At 37.8% G+C, this 18598-nt stretch overlaps 1 protein-coding gene across 26 annotated transcripts in view; it reads right to left on the reverse strand.

Annotated features, from left to right (window-relative positions):
- The window catches only part of LDAH (lipid droplet associated hydrolase), a 140613-nt gene that overhangs the window by 101151 nt on the left and 20864 nt on the right, over positions 1 to 18598 (reverse strand). For 8 of the 26 annotated variants that reach the window (XR_007079565.1, XR_007079563.1, XR_007079564.1 and 5 more), the window contains exons 2-3: positions 17671 to 17826; positions 6616 to 6759 (exon numbers count right to left, since the gene is read on the reverse strand). The exons of 1 other annotated variant lie outside the window; for it this stretch is intronic. Coding sequence is in view for 7 of the 25 variants with exons in the window: in NM_001282723.2 (NP_001269652.1) it covers positions 6616 to 6759; positions 17671 to 17824 (298 nt within the window). In the remaining 18 variants the exon portion in view is untranslated. Of the gene's footprint in view, positions 1 to 6615; positions 6760 to 17652; positions 17827 to 18598 lie in introns of all 26 variants that reach the window. 17 more of the 26 variants (XR_001738874.2, XR_939702.4, XR_001738875.3 and 14 more) reach the window with 4 other exon arrangements.

The following is an 18598-nucleotide window of genomic DNA, read 5'->3' on the forward strand; positions in this document are numbered from 1 at the left end:
CTCTGTATATCCCTTTACTTGCAACATATCTGTGTCTTTATACTTAAAGTTTTTGTTTGTTTGTTTTAAAATGTTTATTTGTTTGTTTTAAAGACAAGATCTCACTCTGTCGCCCAGACTAGAGTGCAGTGGCATGATCTCGGCTCACTGCAGCCTCAACCTCCCGAGTTCAAGTGATCTGCCCACCTCAGCCTCCTGAGTAGGCTGAACCACAGGTGCGTGCCAGCACGCCTGACTAATTTTTGTATTTTTCTGTAGAGTTGGAGTTTCACCATGTTGCCCAGGCTGGTCTCAAACTCCTAGGCTCAAGCAATCTGTTGACCTCGTCCTCCCAAAGTGCTGGAATTACGGGCGTGTATAACTGTGCCTGGTCCTAAAGTGGTTTCTTGTAGACAACATATAGTTGGATCTCCCCCTACCACTCCAACAATCTGTGTATTTTAATTGGTATATTTAGACCATTCACATTTAAAGTGATTACTGAGGCTGGGCATGGTGGCTCATGCCTGTAATCCCAGCACTTTAGGAGGCCAGGGCAGGTAGATCACTTGAGCCCAGGAGTTCAAGACTAGCCCAGGCAACATGGCAAAATCCTGTCCCTATAAAAAATATAAAAATTAGCCAGGCATGCTGGCACACACTTGTGGTCTCAGCTACTCAGGAGGCTGAGGTGGGAATGATCACTTAAGCCTGGGAGTTTCAGGCTACAGTTAGTCTCGTTGGCACCACTGCACTCCAGCCTGGGTGACAGAGTGAGACTGTATCTCTAAATAAATAAATAAAGTGATTACTGATATAGTTGAATTAATAGCTATCATATTTATAAATGTTTCTTCTTTGTTATACTTGTTCTTTCTTTTTAAAATCCTACTCTCTATTCCTAGCTTTAATTGAGCATTTTAAATGATCTAACATTCTCTCTTCTTCTCATAATAATTATACTTATTAAAAAAATTTTTTTTTGGCTGGGCACAGTGGCTCATGCCTGTAATCCCAGCACTTTGGGAAGCTGAGGCGGGCAGATCGCTTGAGCCCAAGGAGTTCCAAGACCAGCCTGGGCAATATGGTGAAACCCTGCATCTACTAAAAATCCAAAAATTAGCCAGGTGTAGTGGCACACGTCTGTAGTCCCAGCTACTTGGGAGGCTGAGGTGGGAGGATCACCTGATCCTGGCAGGTTGAGGCTGCAGTGGGCCAAGATTGTACCAATGTACTCCAGCCTGGGCGAGAGAGTGAGACCCTGTCTCAAAAAAAACAAAAAAAACAAAAAAACACAAGTTCATCTGAAGTAACACTATACCATTTCACCGTTAGTCCAGGTATGTTACAACTGAGTATTCCCAATTCCTCTCTTCCATCCTTTATAACATGATTGACATTCATTTCATTTATCCATGTTGTAATTACCCAACATACTGTTACTTTTATTACTTTGAATAAACAGCTATCTACCAGATCAATTTGGAACAAGAAAAATAAACTTTTTAAACCTTTATTCCTTCTCCGATGCTCTTCTTTATACAGATTTGAGTTTCTAATCTCTATCGCTTTCCCTTCCCCTAAAGAACTTCTTTTAATATTTCTTGCATAGGATGTTTCCAGCAACTAATTTCCTCAGCTGCTGTTGGTCTGAAAAAGTCTTTCTTTCTCCTTTACTTTTGAAGGATGATTTCACTAGATAGAGAAATCCAGGTAAGTGTTATTTTTCATTCGACACTAAATATTTCACTCCATTCTCCTCTTTGTTGAATGATTTCTGACAAGAAGTTCCCTGTAATTCTCATCTTCGTTCTTCTACAGGTAAGGCACTTTTTCCTCTGCCTATTTTCAAGATTTTGTCTTTGGCTTTCTGCAACTTAAGAATGACATATGTAGGTGTAGAGCCTTAGTATTGATCCTGCTTAGTGTGCTCTGAGATTCCTAGACCTGTGTTTTGTCATCTGGCATTAAGTACTTCAACTCTTATCTTCTCCATTTTCTCTTTCTTCTTGATCTGGTATTCCAATTATGCATATGTTACACCTTTTGAAATTGTCCCACAACTCTTGGATGTGCTGTACTTTTATAAATTATTTTTTTCTCTTTGCATTTCAGTTAGGAAAATTTCTATTAACCTATTTTTCCAGCCCACTGATTTTTTCCTCAGCTTCATCCAGCCTGCTGGTGAGTCCATCAAAGGCATTTTTCATTTTTGTTACGGTGTTTTCTAATATTTCCTTTTGATTCTTTCTTAAGAGTTCCCTACTGTCTGCTTGCATTACCCATCTGTTCTTGCATGCTGCTTCTTCCATTAGAGTTCTCAACGTAGTAATCATGGTTACTTTAAATTCCCGATCTGATATTTCTAAAATTGGTAATAAGTATATATCTGACTCTGGTTCTGATGCTTGCTTTGTCTCTTCAGACTGTTTTTTCTTACCTTTTACAATGCCTTCTAATTTTACTTTTTGCTTAAAGCTGGACATGATGTATTAAGTAATAGGAATGAGGTAAATAGACCTTTTATGTGAGGCTATATGTTAATGCCACTAGAAGCTGGGCTATGCTTTTTTTGTTTGTTTGTATTTTAAGATAGGGTCTCACTCTGTCGCCCAGGCTGGAGTGCAGTGGCACTATCTCGGCTCACTGCAACCTCTGCCTCCCGGGTTCAAGCAATTCTCCTGCCTCAACCTCCCGAGTAGCTGGGAGTACAGGCTTGCACCACCATGCCCGGCTAATTTTTGTATTTTTAGTAGAGATGGGGTTTCATCACGTTGGCCAGGCTGGTCAAGCACTCCTAACCTCAAGCAATCTGCTCGCCTCAGCCTCCCAAAGTGCTGGGATTACAGGCATGAGCCACCACGCCTGGCCAGGGCTATGCTTAATGTTTTCTGTAGCTATAGGTATCAGAAACTTCAGTTTCCTCTAATGTTCTTGTTTTTTTTTCCTCCATTGCCTTTGGTTTTCCCTAAGAACTCCTTCTTAAATAGAGTTTGTGTCTTGTAGCTCCTATAGTTATAATGAACTATTATTAAGGTAGAGGCCTGTAGACATGGTGGTAAAATGAGGAGGGAAACATCCTATAATGTAATGATTAAACCTCAGTCTTTCAGTGGGCCTGAATGCCTGTGCTGTGATCTTCAAAAGTTTTTGTCATCTTTTTTTCTCCTCCAGCATGTGAGACATGAAGGCTAGGGGAAGACGGAGTTGGCTAACTGCCCTTCCCCCCAGGTTGGATAAAGCTCTGGAACTCTTTTTCCCTTGGAAAGTAAGCCATGTTATTGAGAATATTCTGGACATACTGCAAAATGCTTACTTCTCTTCCACTCCTAACAAAAAACCATAGAGGACATTTCTCAAATTTTCACAAAAGTACCTGATAAGGTTCCTAGAAGTAATACCTATGAAAGTGAAGAAGTCCCCCAAGAATAGGCTTGCAGAAGTTTGTTACTTTTAAAATAGTCTGTACTTTACCCCCAGCAATTCATCAAAATCACCATTTATGTATTCTACACTTATGTAGTGTATTCTACATAAACGGCACTAGTGTCTTCTACAATCTTCATTGTATTTCCTTGTCTCTCTAGATTTTAGGTGACAATTTGTCCTGTGACCTCAATTCTCTGAAAGGTCTAAGAAAAATGATTTTTAGTTTTGTTCAGCTTTTTTCTTTTCTTTTTTTCTTTCTTTTTTGAGACACAGTCTCATTCTGTCACCTAGGCTGGAGTGCAGTGGCACAATCTTGGCTCACTGCAACCTCTGCCTCCAAGGTTCAAGCAATTCTCATGTCTTAGTCTCCCGAGTAGCTGGGATTACAGGCAAGCACCACCACGCCTGGCTAATTTTTGTACTTTTAGTAGAGATGCAGTTTTGCCATGTTGGCCAAGCTGGTCTCAACTTCCTGGCCTCACATGATCTGCCTGCCTTGGCCTCCCAAAGTGCTGGGATTACAGGCATGAGATACCACACTTAGCCTCAGCTTTTTTCTTATTGCGAGGAGAGAAGTGACAAACTCCAAGTTCTACATGTCAGAGCTGAAACTGGAAGTCCACTATTTATTTTTAAAAAAATTCTATGCTAAATATTTTCTTAATGTATAACATATGCCAAATACAAGTTTTGAACAGGTAATAAGCAAATAAATGTTGAAAAAAAATACCCTGAAAATCTAAATGTAACTATTTCACTAACATTTAAGATACACACTTCATCACGATATTGACATAGGGGAAAAAGCACTAAAAATATGGTCCCTTGTGCTGCTATTCCTAGATGCTTACTTCAGCCTAGAAAATATCTGAGCTATTACACAAAGTATTATTCATTGAAAAATCTCATCTCTTAGTGCCAAGGTGCTAACGTTTGTTAGGCTTTAGGCTGAAAATGTTTAAGCATAATTAAACCATTATGAAGTTTTAGTATTTCTTTTCAACCTTTAACTTACAGGACACCGATTTTTTATTTTCTTATTCAGTTTTCCATACTAAATTGTTTAATAAGCACATATAACTTTTTAATCTAAAAATACAATAAAGGAAGGTAATCCATTTTGAAAATAAATAGAAAATTATACAACATACTCCCTGCAGCTAAAGGGTCAGTTGCAAAATACAAGGTTAACAATTAGATAAAACTAGATAAATTGATACTGTTTATCTGACGTGCAACATTTACACAAATTAATAACAGATTAGTAAACTAATGTTTTTCAGAAAGTATTCAGAGGAGTTCACATATGCAGCCATATTTATTGCCACCACATTCAAATTTTAAAATAGAAACAAAAAATTGTATCTGATATGAGGATCAGAGGCTGAGGTCAGAGATTACAATTAAAAATAAATATAATCAAAACTAGCCTTCAAAGAGTACAGGCTTTTGTATGTTCAACCTTGTACATCAATGTCTAAAAGAATCATGCATATATAATAACGAAGACTATAGATGTAAAATGTAACTTTATTGTAAAATATCTTTAAAACTGAGAAGCTCAATAAGCACAAAAAGATGCTCATACCACTAGAGAGACGTACAAGAACCAGAAGCAAACTGGGCAATGAAGTCACAGCCACCTCGATCTCACCTCAAATTAACTAAAGGAAACCCCCTAGGACAAAACGCCCTTGAATGGAATGCCTATAGAGCATTCCAATTGTTACACCTTTTGAAAGTGTCCTTCAACTCTTGGATATGCTGTACTTTTATAAAGTTATGTTTATGTTTTATAAACTTATATTTAAGTTATTTTTTCTCTCATTTTTTATTTTTTGGAACAGTGAACATGCTAGAATTCTCACAGATTTAAAGGAGGTAGTTTGCATCTCCATGGTATTACTTCTTCCATTTAGAAACCTTCCAGCATGGAGTCCTGGCTCTCTCTCCAGCTCTCAAAGTCCCTCTCAAACTGGCCCTGCTTAGCAGTAACATCGCTATTAAATCTTGCTCCCTTCTGTGCTACTCTTTCTGTCTGTTGTACCTCTGCACCCACCTCCATGCCCTAAATCCAAATTTTATTCAATTGTGAAAACCAGCTGTAATGGTCTGAATGCTTATATGGCCCCCAAATCCATAGGTGAAACCCTATGCCCAAATGCTATTAAGAGGTGGAGAGGGGTCTTTGGGAAGTAATTAGGATCAGATGGGGTCATGAGGGTAGAGCCCGCGAGAGTCCCAAGAGGGCTTGCCTCCTGTGTCCACCACGAGAGGACAGCAAGAATGCCACCTGTGAATCGGGAAGTAGGTTTTCATCAGACATCGAATCTGCCAGTGCAGACTGGACTGGACGTCCAGTCTCAAGAAACTATGAGAAATCAATTTCCATTTTTAAAAGCTACTTAGTCTATGGTATTTTGCTATAGCAGCCCAAACTGACTAAGACACATGCCTACTCCACAAAGTCTCTCCTAACCCACACTGTGTTTTCTCCTTTGTTTACCCCTTAGGTGTCTATATGATTAGCAGGCCACGGTTTATCACTTAATTATTCTCTAAATATGAGAGAAAAAGCTTCTTTAAAGTAAAGAACATGGTTTATAAAAGGGGTTCCCAACCCCTGTCTGTGGCCTGTCAGGAACCCGGCCACACAGATGAAGGTGTGCGACGGGCGAGTGAGCATTACCGCCTGAGCTCTGCCTCCTGTCAGATCAGCGGCAGCAATGGATTCTCATAGGAGTACCCTACTGTGAACTGTGCATGCCAGATCTAGGTTGCACACCTGTTAATCTGAGGTGGAACAGTTTCATCCCGAAACCATCCACCCCTCCCCAGTCTGTGGAAAAATTGTCTTCCACAAAACTGGTTCCCAGAGGCCAAAATGGTTGGGGACTGCTTTTTCCCCACCATTCCTCCTAGAACAACCCTGGAAAAATAATACATGATCAAAAAACACACAGTTGATTACTAATTGGTAAATAAAGAAGGCAAGTCATAGATTGTTTTATCTACCCATATTCTTACAGAAAATTACATGAAGAGTTAAAATGTCTCTAAAAATCCTAAGTTTACCAAAATATGGCACCATGGGCCTAATGCCACAAGCAGAGGTTTCCACTGGTGTAACTCTTAACCTTAGCAAGCTTGCTAGAAACATGACCCTGCACTCACTCTAAAGGAAAGTAGATATTAACAAGGACATACCCTCTGATGTTGTAAGAATCTTCTTGTCTTTGGGAGCCAACGCATGCCCAGCATGACTGATAGTCCAAACTGGAAAGCGTCTGTTTGTCAAAGAGTATAAAGCCTTTGCAAATGGCACATAAAAGGCAGAAAAACCTGGGTTACCTAAGAAAAGAAACACAGACCTTAGATTAATCAAAGTAATAAACAGGCATAAGATGACACGCAGGCTAGAAAAGATGGGTCTGTTTCTTTTCACACTTTCCTCTGAATTCTTCAGAGTACCCAAGAGAGATTATCTTCAAACTTCCATTAAAATCACAGCAGTACCCTATTTAAACACCCTTCAGTGTCTTCCAGATAAAGTCATCTGGAAGAAGTCTAAAATCAGTAATACTGCATATAAGGCACTTCAAGATTTGGTCATGCTCAGTTAACAAGATGCATGAAAACCAGAAAAACAAGCCAGCCAAAATAGTGTAAGAAGCATGCACAGGGAGAGCTTTAAGGAGTCTACTGTTTCCTTGTCACTTATCACTAGCACTTATAATTGTAAACAGGTGTACAGCTTGATCTTTTGGGGAAACAAACGTCTACAAGTACATGTAGATTTTTCTTATGTGTGTACAGAAGGTATTTTTGACATGAGTTTGCTATAAAGAAACAATAAATAAACGATCTTTTTAAAAACATTCAATCTGATAGATCTGTAGGGGGGAAATTACAACGAAATGGGATTTTCATCTTGTAATCATCATCTATATAAAGTCTTCACAGCTACTAGTCCATTTCCATCAATATCTATTTCTCTGATCAGTTTATCTATTTCTTCATGTTGTTAGGCTTTCTGGTCTCTGCAATTACATGACATGGCTCTGGAGCACTGATGTAAATAACCACTGTCATCCTTGTCGAATTTCACTGATTTCTACTCCATTTTTATATCTTTCAGTTTGCTAGATAAGCAGTGTAGTAAAGTGGTTAAGAGCATAGACTCTGAAGCCAGACTACCTGGGTTGGAATCTTGGCTTTGCCACTTACCAACTGTGTGAGCTTTGGCCAAGCTATTTAACCTCCCTCTGCCTTGGTTTCCTCATCCACAAAATGTGTAATAATGGTACTACCTCATTTGAAGACTAAGTGAATCAATGTACAAAGCATTGTAACACTGCCTGAAACACAGCAAGTATTATATAAATGTTAGGTATTCAAACTTGTACAACAACGTCTAGCTATAACGGTAATATACAACGGCCGTAGCATCCATATTATTTTGCTTCTGTTGCATTCTGACCTAGTGACCCAAGTTCCAAATTCCTTTTTGTGATGGTGCTTTTGGCTTCTTTGTCAAATAGGATGAAAACTTCCTCAAATGCAGAAATATATTCTTTGGTCAGTTTATTGGCCACTGTATAGCTAAGGAAGAAAGAAGGGAGGAAGGGCATACCAGCACAGGGGCTATAACATCTATGGAAGCTGTGGGTGGCACTGTTTCATGTTTTATGCATTTAAGTCTTCAGTAAGTTTAGAATACTTTTTAGTATAAAATACTAAGTAGCAATCCAACTTTTTTCCAAGTGACTGGCCAATTGTTCCAAGACCATTTATTATATAATCCATTCTTTCTGCATTGATTTGAAATATCTTCAGACCCAATACTACATTTTTACATTCACTTGCTAATTCTGATACCAAATAATTCAGTTTATTTTTCCTTTTCTCCTCTGCCAGGACCATACTGTCTTAATTACTACATTTTTTTTTAAGTGTTAACAGGTAGGGCAAATCCCTTCCCTTTTTCTTTTTCTAAATTTTCTAGGCTGTTCTCATAAACTTTAGGGTTATTTTCACTAGTTTCAATTCTTAAAAATCTCTTTGGGATTGTGACTAAAATTTCATCTCATTAATATATTACTTTACAAAAATTTTATATTTTTATATTACTGAGTATAACCTTCTAGGAATATGTTATACCTCATATTCACATGTCTTACGTTGCTCATAGATTTCTTCATATGGCTAGAAAATAATAATAGCTAATATTTTTAGGTACTATAACTTACTACATGCCAGGCAGTGTTTAGGTGCTTTACATATATTATTTAATTATCATATGAGGTAGCACTATCATTACTTCCATTTTATGGATGAGGAAACTGAGTACAGAGAGGTTAAATAACTTAGCCAACATCACATATATGGTAAGTGCTAAATAAATATTTGATGACTGAAAGTATATACAAAAGAAAATCATAATACTGAATTTTTAAAAAACATCAGTAATCCGGTGTAGGATCTTCTGCCTTCCTTGTTTTAGTTAGTCTTACAATATCTCTATAAAGTAGTTGGCATTTTCATTAGAAATAACGAATGGATAGCCACTTGCACAAAACTTGGCACATGGTAGGGGCTGAATAAATGGCAGCTATTAATACCACAGCTATTATAACAATTAAAAACTGGTGTAACATTAAGGAGACACTAAAGATAACCCCATGATTTAGATGTAAGTTACAATGACACGATATATGAAAAACAGTGAGTACTAGATAATGGATACTTAATGCATGCAGGCATTAAAACCTAGATGATGGGTTGACAGGTGCAGCAAACCACCATGGCACATGTATACCTATGTAACAAACGTGCACATTCTGCACATGTATCCCAGAACTTAACATATTTTTTTAAATGAGGAAGAATAAATAAATAAATAAAACAAAGTTTTCTCCCTATCTCTGGGATTAAGTCTGAGTTCTTAAGCTTTCTGATCCACAATTTTATCATCATCAAGTAAATGATGATGCCAATTACTTATGTTCATTAATTCTATTCAGAATTACAGCTTCTTTTAGCCCTCAATTATTTATTGAGCACTTACTGTATGAAAGTCACTATGTCAGGCAAAAGACAGATGAGGGCCTTTTTGGAATTTATGTACTAGTGGGAGAATATACAACACATAACTAAATAGGTGAGATAAAGAGTGTGAGAACTCCTATAAAAGGAATAAACAGGGTCACATGATAGAGAAGGGAAGAGAATAGAGTGAAAAAAAGGTCTGAGGAGGTGACATTTAGCTAAGACCCCAAAATGACAAGAAATAAGCCTTGTGAAAATTTGAGGGAAGAGAATAAATACTAAGGAGGGAGAAGGCCCTCAAGAAATAAAGATCTTAGCTCTTGAAGAGCTAATTCAAAGGCCCTCAAGAAATAAAGATCTTAGCTCTTGAAGAAATGGAAGACAGTCCATAATCCTTGGTTCTTCCCTTTGCATCTAATCTATCAGTGTGGCTAAAGCATAACAAGAGATATCAAATCTTGTATGAGATCAGGTTGAAGAGGAAGAGAAATACAATCATGTGATACCTTTTGGGCCATGATAAGTAATTTGGCTTTTAATCTAAGTAACATTAAAAGAGATTGAGCAGGGTTAAGGCATAATCAGATTTAAATTTAAAAAAAGTCTTCTATCTTAAAAGAGTAATTAGGAAAAATATGAAAATTTTCATAGCAATACATTTAGCAACTTAGATAAAATAAACTTTTAGAAAGACAGAAACTATCAAAGTTCACTCAAGAAGAAACAGATAACCTAAATAGCCCTAAATTGATTGGATTAATTAGAATTTAAGTTAAAAATCTTCCCACAAAGAAAATCCAGGCCCACACAGCTTCACTGGTGAATTCTATCAAACATTTAAGGAAGAAAAATGCCCAGTGTATAAAAACTCTTTCAGAAAATAGAAGAGAAATGTATTAGTCTGTTTTCATGCTGCTGATAAAGACATACCCGAAACTGGGCAACTCACACACAAAGAAGAGGTTTCATGGACTCACAGTTCCACATGGCTGAGGACACTTCACAATCATGGTGGAAGGCAAGGAGTAGCAAGTCACATCTTACATGGATGGCAGCAGGCAAAAAGAAAGGGAGTGTGTGCAGGGGAACTCCTCTTTATAAAACCATCAGATTTCATAAGACTTATTCACTATCACAAGAACAGCATGAGAAAGACCTGCTCCCGTGATTCAATTACCTCCCACTGAGCCCCTCCCACAACACGTGGAAATTGTGGGAGTTACAATTCAAGAAGAGATTTGGGTGGGGACACAGCCAAACCATATCAAGAAAGAAATATATTCTAACTCATTCTATGAGGCCAGCATCACCCTCATACCAAAACCACATAAAGACATTGCAAAAAGAAAAAGAAAAAACTACAGACCACTATACCTCGTGAACAAAGATGGAAAAATTCTAAACAAAATTTTAGCAAACTGAGTCCATCAAAATGTTAAAAGCATAATACATCATGACCAAGTGGGATTTATCACAGGAATGCTGGATTGGTTTAACATTCAAAAATTAACATCATCCACCACATTAACCAACCGTAAAAGAAAAACCATACGATCCTCAACAGATGCAGAAAAAAATGGAAGTTTTATCCTGTCAGAAATATACTTAACATTGTAGCATGTATAACGTACCAAACTTGAAAGTTTAACTTCTTTAAAAGTAGCCATCACTTGCTATAGTTCTCTGTATCCAGTGGCACCAAGCAGCACTAGATTGGGTACATGGCACTCACATACAATAAATCCTTTCAAACTGAACGCATAGCAAGTATCACAAAGGTCTAACTTATAACAGAGACAGAAGTGGAAAATGCAATGCAAAATGCTTAAATACCATTGCATACAGTACTTCATACTTCACCATTTAAACCTCCTTGTTAAGAAACCACAAAGAAAATTAAAAGGCCTACACTTATGCAACTAAAAAAGACACACACACGGAGGGGTATGGGAGAGGTCCAGGTGTAAGGATGTTGGAAAACATTCCAATGCAGACATGCAAGTAAAATATTTAATCAAAAGTTTACATAAAAATGTGTTATAAACACACACTTGAACATGCTCATAACAGTCAAATCAGTCAAATACCCATGCAATGTATAACAGAAGTTGTAGTGATCATCTCTAGGCCCTGACTGCTAATAATCTCCAACTATACAATGCTGCAAGTATAGACTTATACCTTCCAGTTAATTTTGTAGGGAGAGGAACGAAAACTGCCACATATCAAGTTAATATGGCACAGTATCTATATAATAGGTTGCCATGTAGACAGACCTATTGGACTCATTCATGGAGCCTTATCTGCTATATCTCCAACCACTGTGCTCACAGCACTTGATACTTCACATGGTTCTGTTATCTCCATATGACCTCCTAAGAATTATGATTCAGTGTACTCTATGGTGAGTTCTCAATCTGATTCCCTTTGTTCATCTCACTAGTTAAAGAAAGTCCAAGGACAATGTTACTTTACAGAAATCCAAGATCTAAGGTTCATCAGAAAAAATGAAACTAAATTAAAAGTTCTTCAATCTGTGGATTCTGATCAAAAAAGGAACACAGTAAAAATTCTTACAAATGCAAAAAAAAGAAAAGAAAAGAAAATGATATTGCATCCATTAAACATCAGACTACAAAAAAGAAAAGAAAACTCACAATTATCATTACTAACTTAGAAGTGAAGAATTAATTTTGCTAGCTGCAAAAGCAATGTGATTTAAAATGAAATGTTATGTCAGTCTATCAGAGACGGACATAACATGGTGTCCATAGTGGCTTCACAATCCTTGAAATACTGTTATCCTGATTATTACCACAGTGTAAATAGATTAGCTCCCCCGAAACCTGCCACACACACACACACACACACACACACACACACACACACAAAATACAATTCTAAATCCCACAAACTAATGAGCAGGGCAAACATAAAAGAACACTAGGAAATGAAATATGATCTGAAAATGTCAAAGCACTATAAACAATGAGACTATCAAACTACAAATGTTTTATGCTTCCCTCCATTCTCAGTGTCTTCACTGAATACTCCCTTTATCTCCTCACCATATCTGAAATCTGGCTCTCCCCTGTAATGGGCTCTCTTCCTTTCAATCCTCTTCAGCAGAGGCCTCAGTCACTCTTCTCTAACACCACATATAACTCAATGAGAGCAAAGACTTAATGCAACACAGTATTCCTAGCACCTGGGATAAAAGAGTGAGGGAATAAATACTATCTCCAGGTGGGGAAGTGGGTGGGTTGTCTGTCCCACTTACTATTTCACCTCACTATTACAACAACCTCTTCTTCTTTAAGACTCAAGCCATCTATTTCCATCTATCAACTTTTTAGTCACTCACACTTTCTCTGAAAGCCTTGACCCTTAAATGACAGTTTCACTTGTCATGTCATGTCAGGACATTTCAAAATCCAGTTGGACTGACTGAGCCAAAAACTTTGTCCCATAATTCATTATTATGATGAAATCCAAAGAACTTCACCTACATTAAACTTAAGCAATTCATTCCCATGACTACACCCTGGATCAGATATGCGTATCACAGTTCCCTGCAGGGCTTGTTAAAACACTGATTGCCCAACCCCCAGACTTTCTGGTTCAGAAGGTCAGGGATAGAGCCCAGGAACTGCATTTTTAAAGTTCTCAAGCAATACTTCTGATCCTGACACCAACTTTAAGAACCACAGGCCTAGTATCTTTTCATGAGCTGGAAATGATTAGCATTCAAAACATGGTCTCAACTCTCAACAGAAAAAACAGTAGTCAGGAAGCAGGAGACTTCACTTCCCTCTGATACGCCTTTATACTTTTCCATTTTAGTAACCAATTTCACCTCCTTCTTTCTAGCCTTAGAAGGATATCCCTTCTCGAGTTTAAGATAATGTTTCTACTTATTTTCTCTATCCTATGCTATAAGCTATTCCAAATCTCTGCTCCATCAAACAGCACTTGCCATGACTATAATTTCAAACTCTCCTTCACTACTGGAAAAGTACATGTATTTTTATGTTAATAGATGCTGAACGGACTGACTTCCACAAAGACTGTTACATCCTGGCAGAAGAATAGTTTATTCCCATTAGTGGTTAAAACAAAGAGAAATTCTCGATCAGGAATCTTAGTCCAGCTGAGAATGAAAGTACCATACTGAGAAGAGGCTGGACTAGGCATAACCAAACACTGAAACTACCACCTCCTTTCCCCTGTTCCTCTTTGAACATTAACAGACAGGTTTCCACTCTTCAAACAGGAGCCTGGAAGATTCCTCCCCAGGAAAACTGAACAATAAAAGAAAGAGCTTCAGACACTGAAAGCTGGAAATCCGTCAATGAAATGCTGGGTCCCTACTCAATCACCTTAGGATGAGGCCCACCTAGGGCGACCAACTCCTCTGTTTTGCCCGAGACTGTCATGGTTTTAGTACTGAAAGTCTTATGTCCTAGAAAACCTCTCAGTCCTAGGCAAGCTAGGATGGCTAATCACCCTAGACACACCTCTGGATAAGCCCCAGCTCTGAGTGCAAAGCTTCCAATTTGTTTTTTGTCTTCCTCTTAAACATGAATGGATAGTCAAGGATTGCCAGACATTTGAGGAAAACTAAAGACTAATGCAAATGAAAAAAGGAACACAGTGAAAATTCTTGCAAATGCAAAAACAAAAAAGAAAAGAAAAGAAAATGATATTGCATCCATTAAACATGAGACTACAAAAAAGAAAAGAAAAACAAAGCGCTATTAGAATGAAATGAGTTTCTGGCTTAAAAGGGCCCACCAAAACCCAAGTACCTTGTATGAAAAAACAGTCACACCAAGGTGCTTCACTGTAAAATTTCAGAATCTCAGAACAAAGAAAAGGTCTCGAAAATGTGGGTAGAGAATCTTCACATACAAAAGGCGAAAATCAGAAATGATACCAATACTTCTTATAAGCAGCTCTGAGTGTTGGAAAACAATGATTAATGCCCTCCATTAACGCCCTCCATTTTCCTCCTAAAGAAAAATTATTTCCAACCTAGAGTCTAAGACATTTTGCAGCATGCTGTGTTACTTCTCATGTACCTCTTCTAAGGAAGCTACTAGAAGATATGCTCTACCAAAAACAAGAGAATAAACTAAGATAAAAATGTGGGATCTGAGAAACGAGGGATCCAAGCCAGAAGAAAGTGACAGAAGTCCCCAGGATGGCAACTGTGCAGCAGGCCTGGGGAGCAATGAGTCCAGACTGGAGCCAAAGGACAGAGCATTCTGAAAACTGACTGATGACTCAAATGCATTGAAAGGATTCTTTTCACTTCTAGAGAATAGTTCTAGGATAAATGAGTGATTAAAGCACAAAAAACTAAGCAAAAAGATAACAGAACATCATTAACCCAGGGAAAACAAACAAAAATATATAAGAAAGGAAATGCATGCGCAATTCCCTATAGGCTTAGCTATGTATAATATAATTAATATAATATAATATAATATACATAATATAATATAATACATAGTCATAATAATAAAAGCACTGAATATTGACCTAACAAAAAACTGAAATATTCCCATACTAGGAAAATAGATGGAGAAGGAGGGGTATATGATTGTGCATGGAGAAGGGAAAGTATAAGAAAGCTAATCTTTTTCTTTCATGGAGGAAGACAATAGATAACATCTAATATTAAAAACTCAGGAGAATTGCTTGAACCCGGGAGGCGGAGGTTGCAGTGAGCCGAGATCACACCACTGCACTCCAACCTAAGCAACAGAGAGAGACTCCATCTCAAAACAAAACAAAAGACAACTGAAGAAGAAGAAATATAAGTATTTCATTTAGAAACGAGTAAAGGCCAGGCATGGTGGCTCATGCCTATAATCCCAGCACTTTGGGAGGCTGGGGTGGGCAGATCACTTGAGGCCAGGAGTTCGACACACGCCTGGCCAACATGGTGAAGCCCTGTCTCTACTAAGACTACAAAAATTAGCCAGGCATGGTGGCAGACACCTGTAATCCCAGCTACTGATGAGGCTGATACAGGAGAATCTCTTGAACCCAGGAGGTGGAGGGTTGCAGTGAGCTGAGATCATACCACTGCACTCCAGTCTGGGCAAGAGAGTGAGACTCTGTCTAAACAAACAAACAAACAAAAAAGAATGTGGAATAAATATCACAGGAATATACCAGTGTTAAAAGTGGTTGCCTCTGAGAACATCTGTTGGAACTAGAAAAGCTGATTTTTTGGTTATTATTTATTTTTTTTAAAGATATTGATATTTATGTTATATATTCATGGGGTACATGTGATATTTCGTTACCTGTATAGAACGTGTAATGATCATGTCAGGGTGTTTTAGTACATTCACTTTGAGTATTCATCATTTCTATGTGTTGAGAAAAATCCAAGGCCTCTCTTCTAGCTACTTTATACCAATACAATACACTACTGTTAACTATAGTCAGTCTACTCTGCCGACTATGCCAATTCTGTTGGTATAAATAAGTTCCAACAATAGAACTTACACCTTTCATCTAACTTGCATGTTTGTACCTGTTTACCTCTCTCTTCATCCCTCCTCCCAGCCCTGCACCCTTCCCAGCCTTTAGTATCTATCATTATACTCTGCCTTTACGAGATCAATTTTAGGAAAGTTGACTTTAAAGATCATTTAAGCTTTTTTTTTCCTCCTAATGAAGCCAAAAAATATATTCTGCAGCCAAAAGAAAAGAAGCTAAAGAATATTCTGGAAAAGAATAAAAATGAACAAGTTCCAAAAAATATGTAAAAGTATCATAAAACTGCATTTATTAAAAAACATGAAGAACACATGAAGAGGCGAAAAACATGGAAAGAAACTCCTGGCCACAGGATAATCTACTTTACAATACAGTTAGCATTGCAAGGCAGTAGGAGAAAGGCAGATGATACAATAAATGGTTGTGGACCATGTAATAAGCCATCCAAAGGAGAGGGAGAAGAAAAGTAGATCCCTTCCTCAGTGCCTGCCCTTAAAATCTAGATGCATCAACTTAAAGATCACAAATGAAATTGTAAAAATACTAGAAGACATGGCAGAATTGTTTTATAATCTTGGAGTAGGAAAGCCCTCTCTAAGAAACTCATAAAACCCTGAAGTCTTAAAGGAAGAGACTTAGCATTTTGGCCACATAACAAAGATACTTTCTATACAACCAAATAAACATTGTAAATGATGTCAAAAGACAAACCAGGAAAGATTCTTGTCACGTATGACAGATATAACACAATTTTACAGTTGTGTAAGAATCAACTGAAAATCAATAAGGAAAACATTGAAAACACAATTGAAAAATGGGCAAGGGTTTCGAACTGGCAATTCACAGAATAAGAATAAACATGTATGTTCAAACTCACAATTTAAAATGCATTTTGAATACCTGCAATCGCTCAAGCATCTGTCCCTAATTCTATTGACAATGATCTAGCAAAAGTTACAAGTGACTCAGCTGCCAAATATCAGAATATTCTAATTTTTAATTTTTATTTTTTTATTTTTTATTTTTTTAAATATTTTTTTGAGACGGAGTCTCGCTCTGCCCCCCAGGCTGGAGTACGGTGGTGTGATCTGGGGGCAATGCAACCTCTGCCTCCCAGGTTCAATCAATTCTCCTGCCTCAGCCTCCCGAGTAGCTGGGACTATAGGCATGTGCCACCACGCCCAGCTAATTTTTTGTTTTTTAGTAGAGATGGGGTTTCACCATGTTAGCCAGGATGGTCTTGATCTCCTGACCTTGTGATCCACCCACCTCAGCCTCCCAAAGTGCTGGGATTATAGGCGTGAGCCATTGCACCTGGCCAAATATTCTATAATAAACATATAATCATGTTGAAATGAGGCAGAAAAAGTTTAGAAAACTGGCAAAAATATTGATGAAGTTTTAAATATTAAGAAATGCTTTAAAAACCACATTACAAAACTGCATATATAGTACATACTTCCAACTGTGACACAAACACACACACACACACACACAACAGACAACATAATGTAAATACATAGAAGAAAAACACAAAATCCAGACGTCAAAATATTAAGGGTGGTTGTTAACAATGGGTCAAGCGATTTTAATTCCTTCTCCAAGGTTTTCCATATTTACCAAATTCTCTATACTTTAAAATCAGACATAGTTATGAGTATCTACAAAAAGTCTCCTCACCCAGACTTTTACGCTCACCAGGAATAATGAAAATAAGCAGCTTAGGCCTTTTGACACTTTGATCATGAAAGAGGTCTGTCCAGGGCCCACATTTTAGAACCTGGGTTTCGGCTCCACCACACAAAATGAATTCCTCATGCACAGGAATTTCTTCCTTGAGTTCTGAGTCCATTTCTAAATAAGGGGAGAAAAGTAGTATGAAGAGTCAGTAAAATGTAAAACCTTGAGCCAAAGACAAAATTCAAGAATAAAAAAGGGCAAGTTTCAATATACCTAGAAGGAAATGCCACAAGGACATCTGGGAAACTATAAGACTATTCAGTGATGCTGGATTATACGATTGCAAGACACGTAAAACAAGCCACGAAAGTACTTAGAAAGGAGGAGACATATCCTTGGAAAAATGAAAGACTATAGAGGGGTTTGAGTCAAAACCGTAACTTCCACAAATTCCCTCTGCTAGAATTCTCTTTTAGCTCTGTGCATTACCATGAGACAGGTTCCCCTACCTTCACCTGGTGAGAAAGTGCAGAGGTTCTGGCTTGCCCTTGCATTCACTCCATAGAAGAGTAAGAGGGACAATGAACTCCCTATGGTCTCTTATTTCCTCATATTACTCTTCTCTTCTCCCAAATTCTATGTGTGTGTGTGTGTGTGTGTGTGTGTATGTGTGTGTGTGTGTGTGTATGTATGAATATGTGTGTATATATATGTATATATACATATACATACATATCCACACATACTATATCTATCTATCTATATACACACACAATATACATGTATATATATATACATATATACGTTGCCCAGGCTGGAGTTCAGTGGCATGATCTTGGCTCACTGCAAACTCTGCCTCCCAGGTTCAAGCAATTCTCCTGCCTCAGCCTCCTGAGTAGCTGGGACTACAGGCACGTACCACCACGCCTGGCTAATTTTTGTATTT

This window comes from Homo sapiens, chromosome 2, assembly GCF_000001405.40.
Source record: "Homo sapiens chromosome 2, GRCh38.p14 Primary Assembly".
NCBI classification, from domain to species: Eukaryota; Metazoa; Chordata; class Mammalia; order Primates; family Hominidae; genus Homo; species Homo sapiens.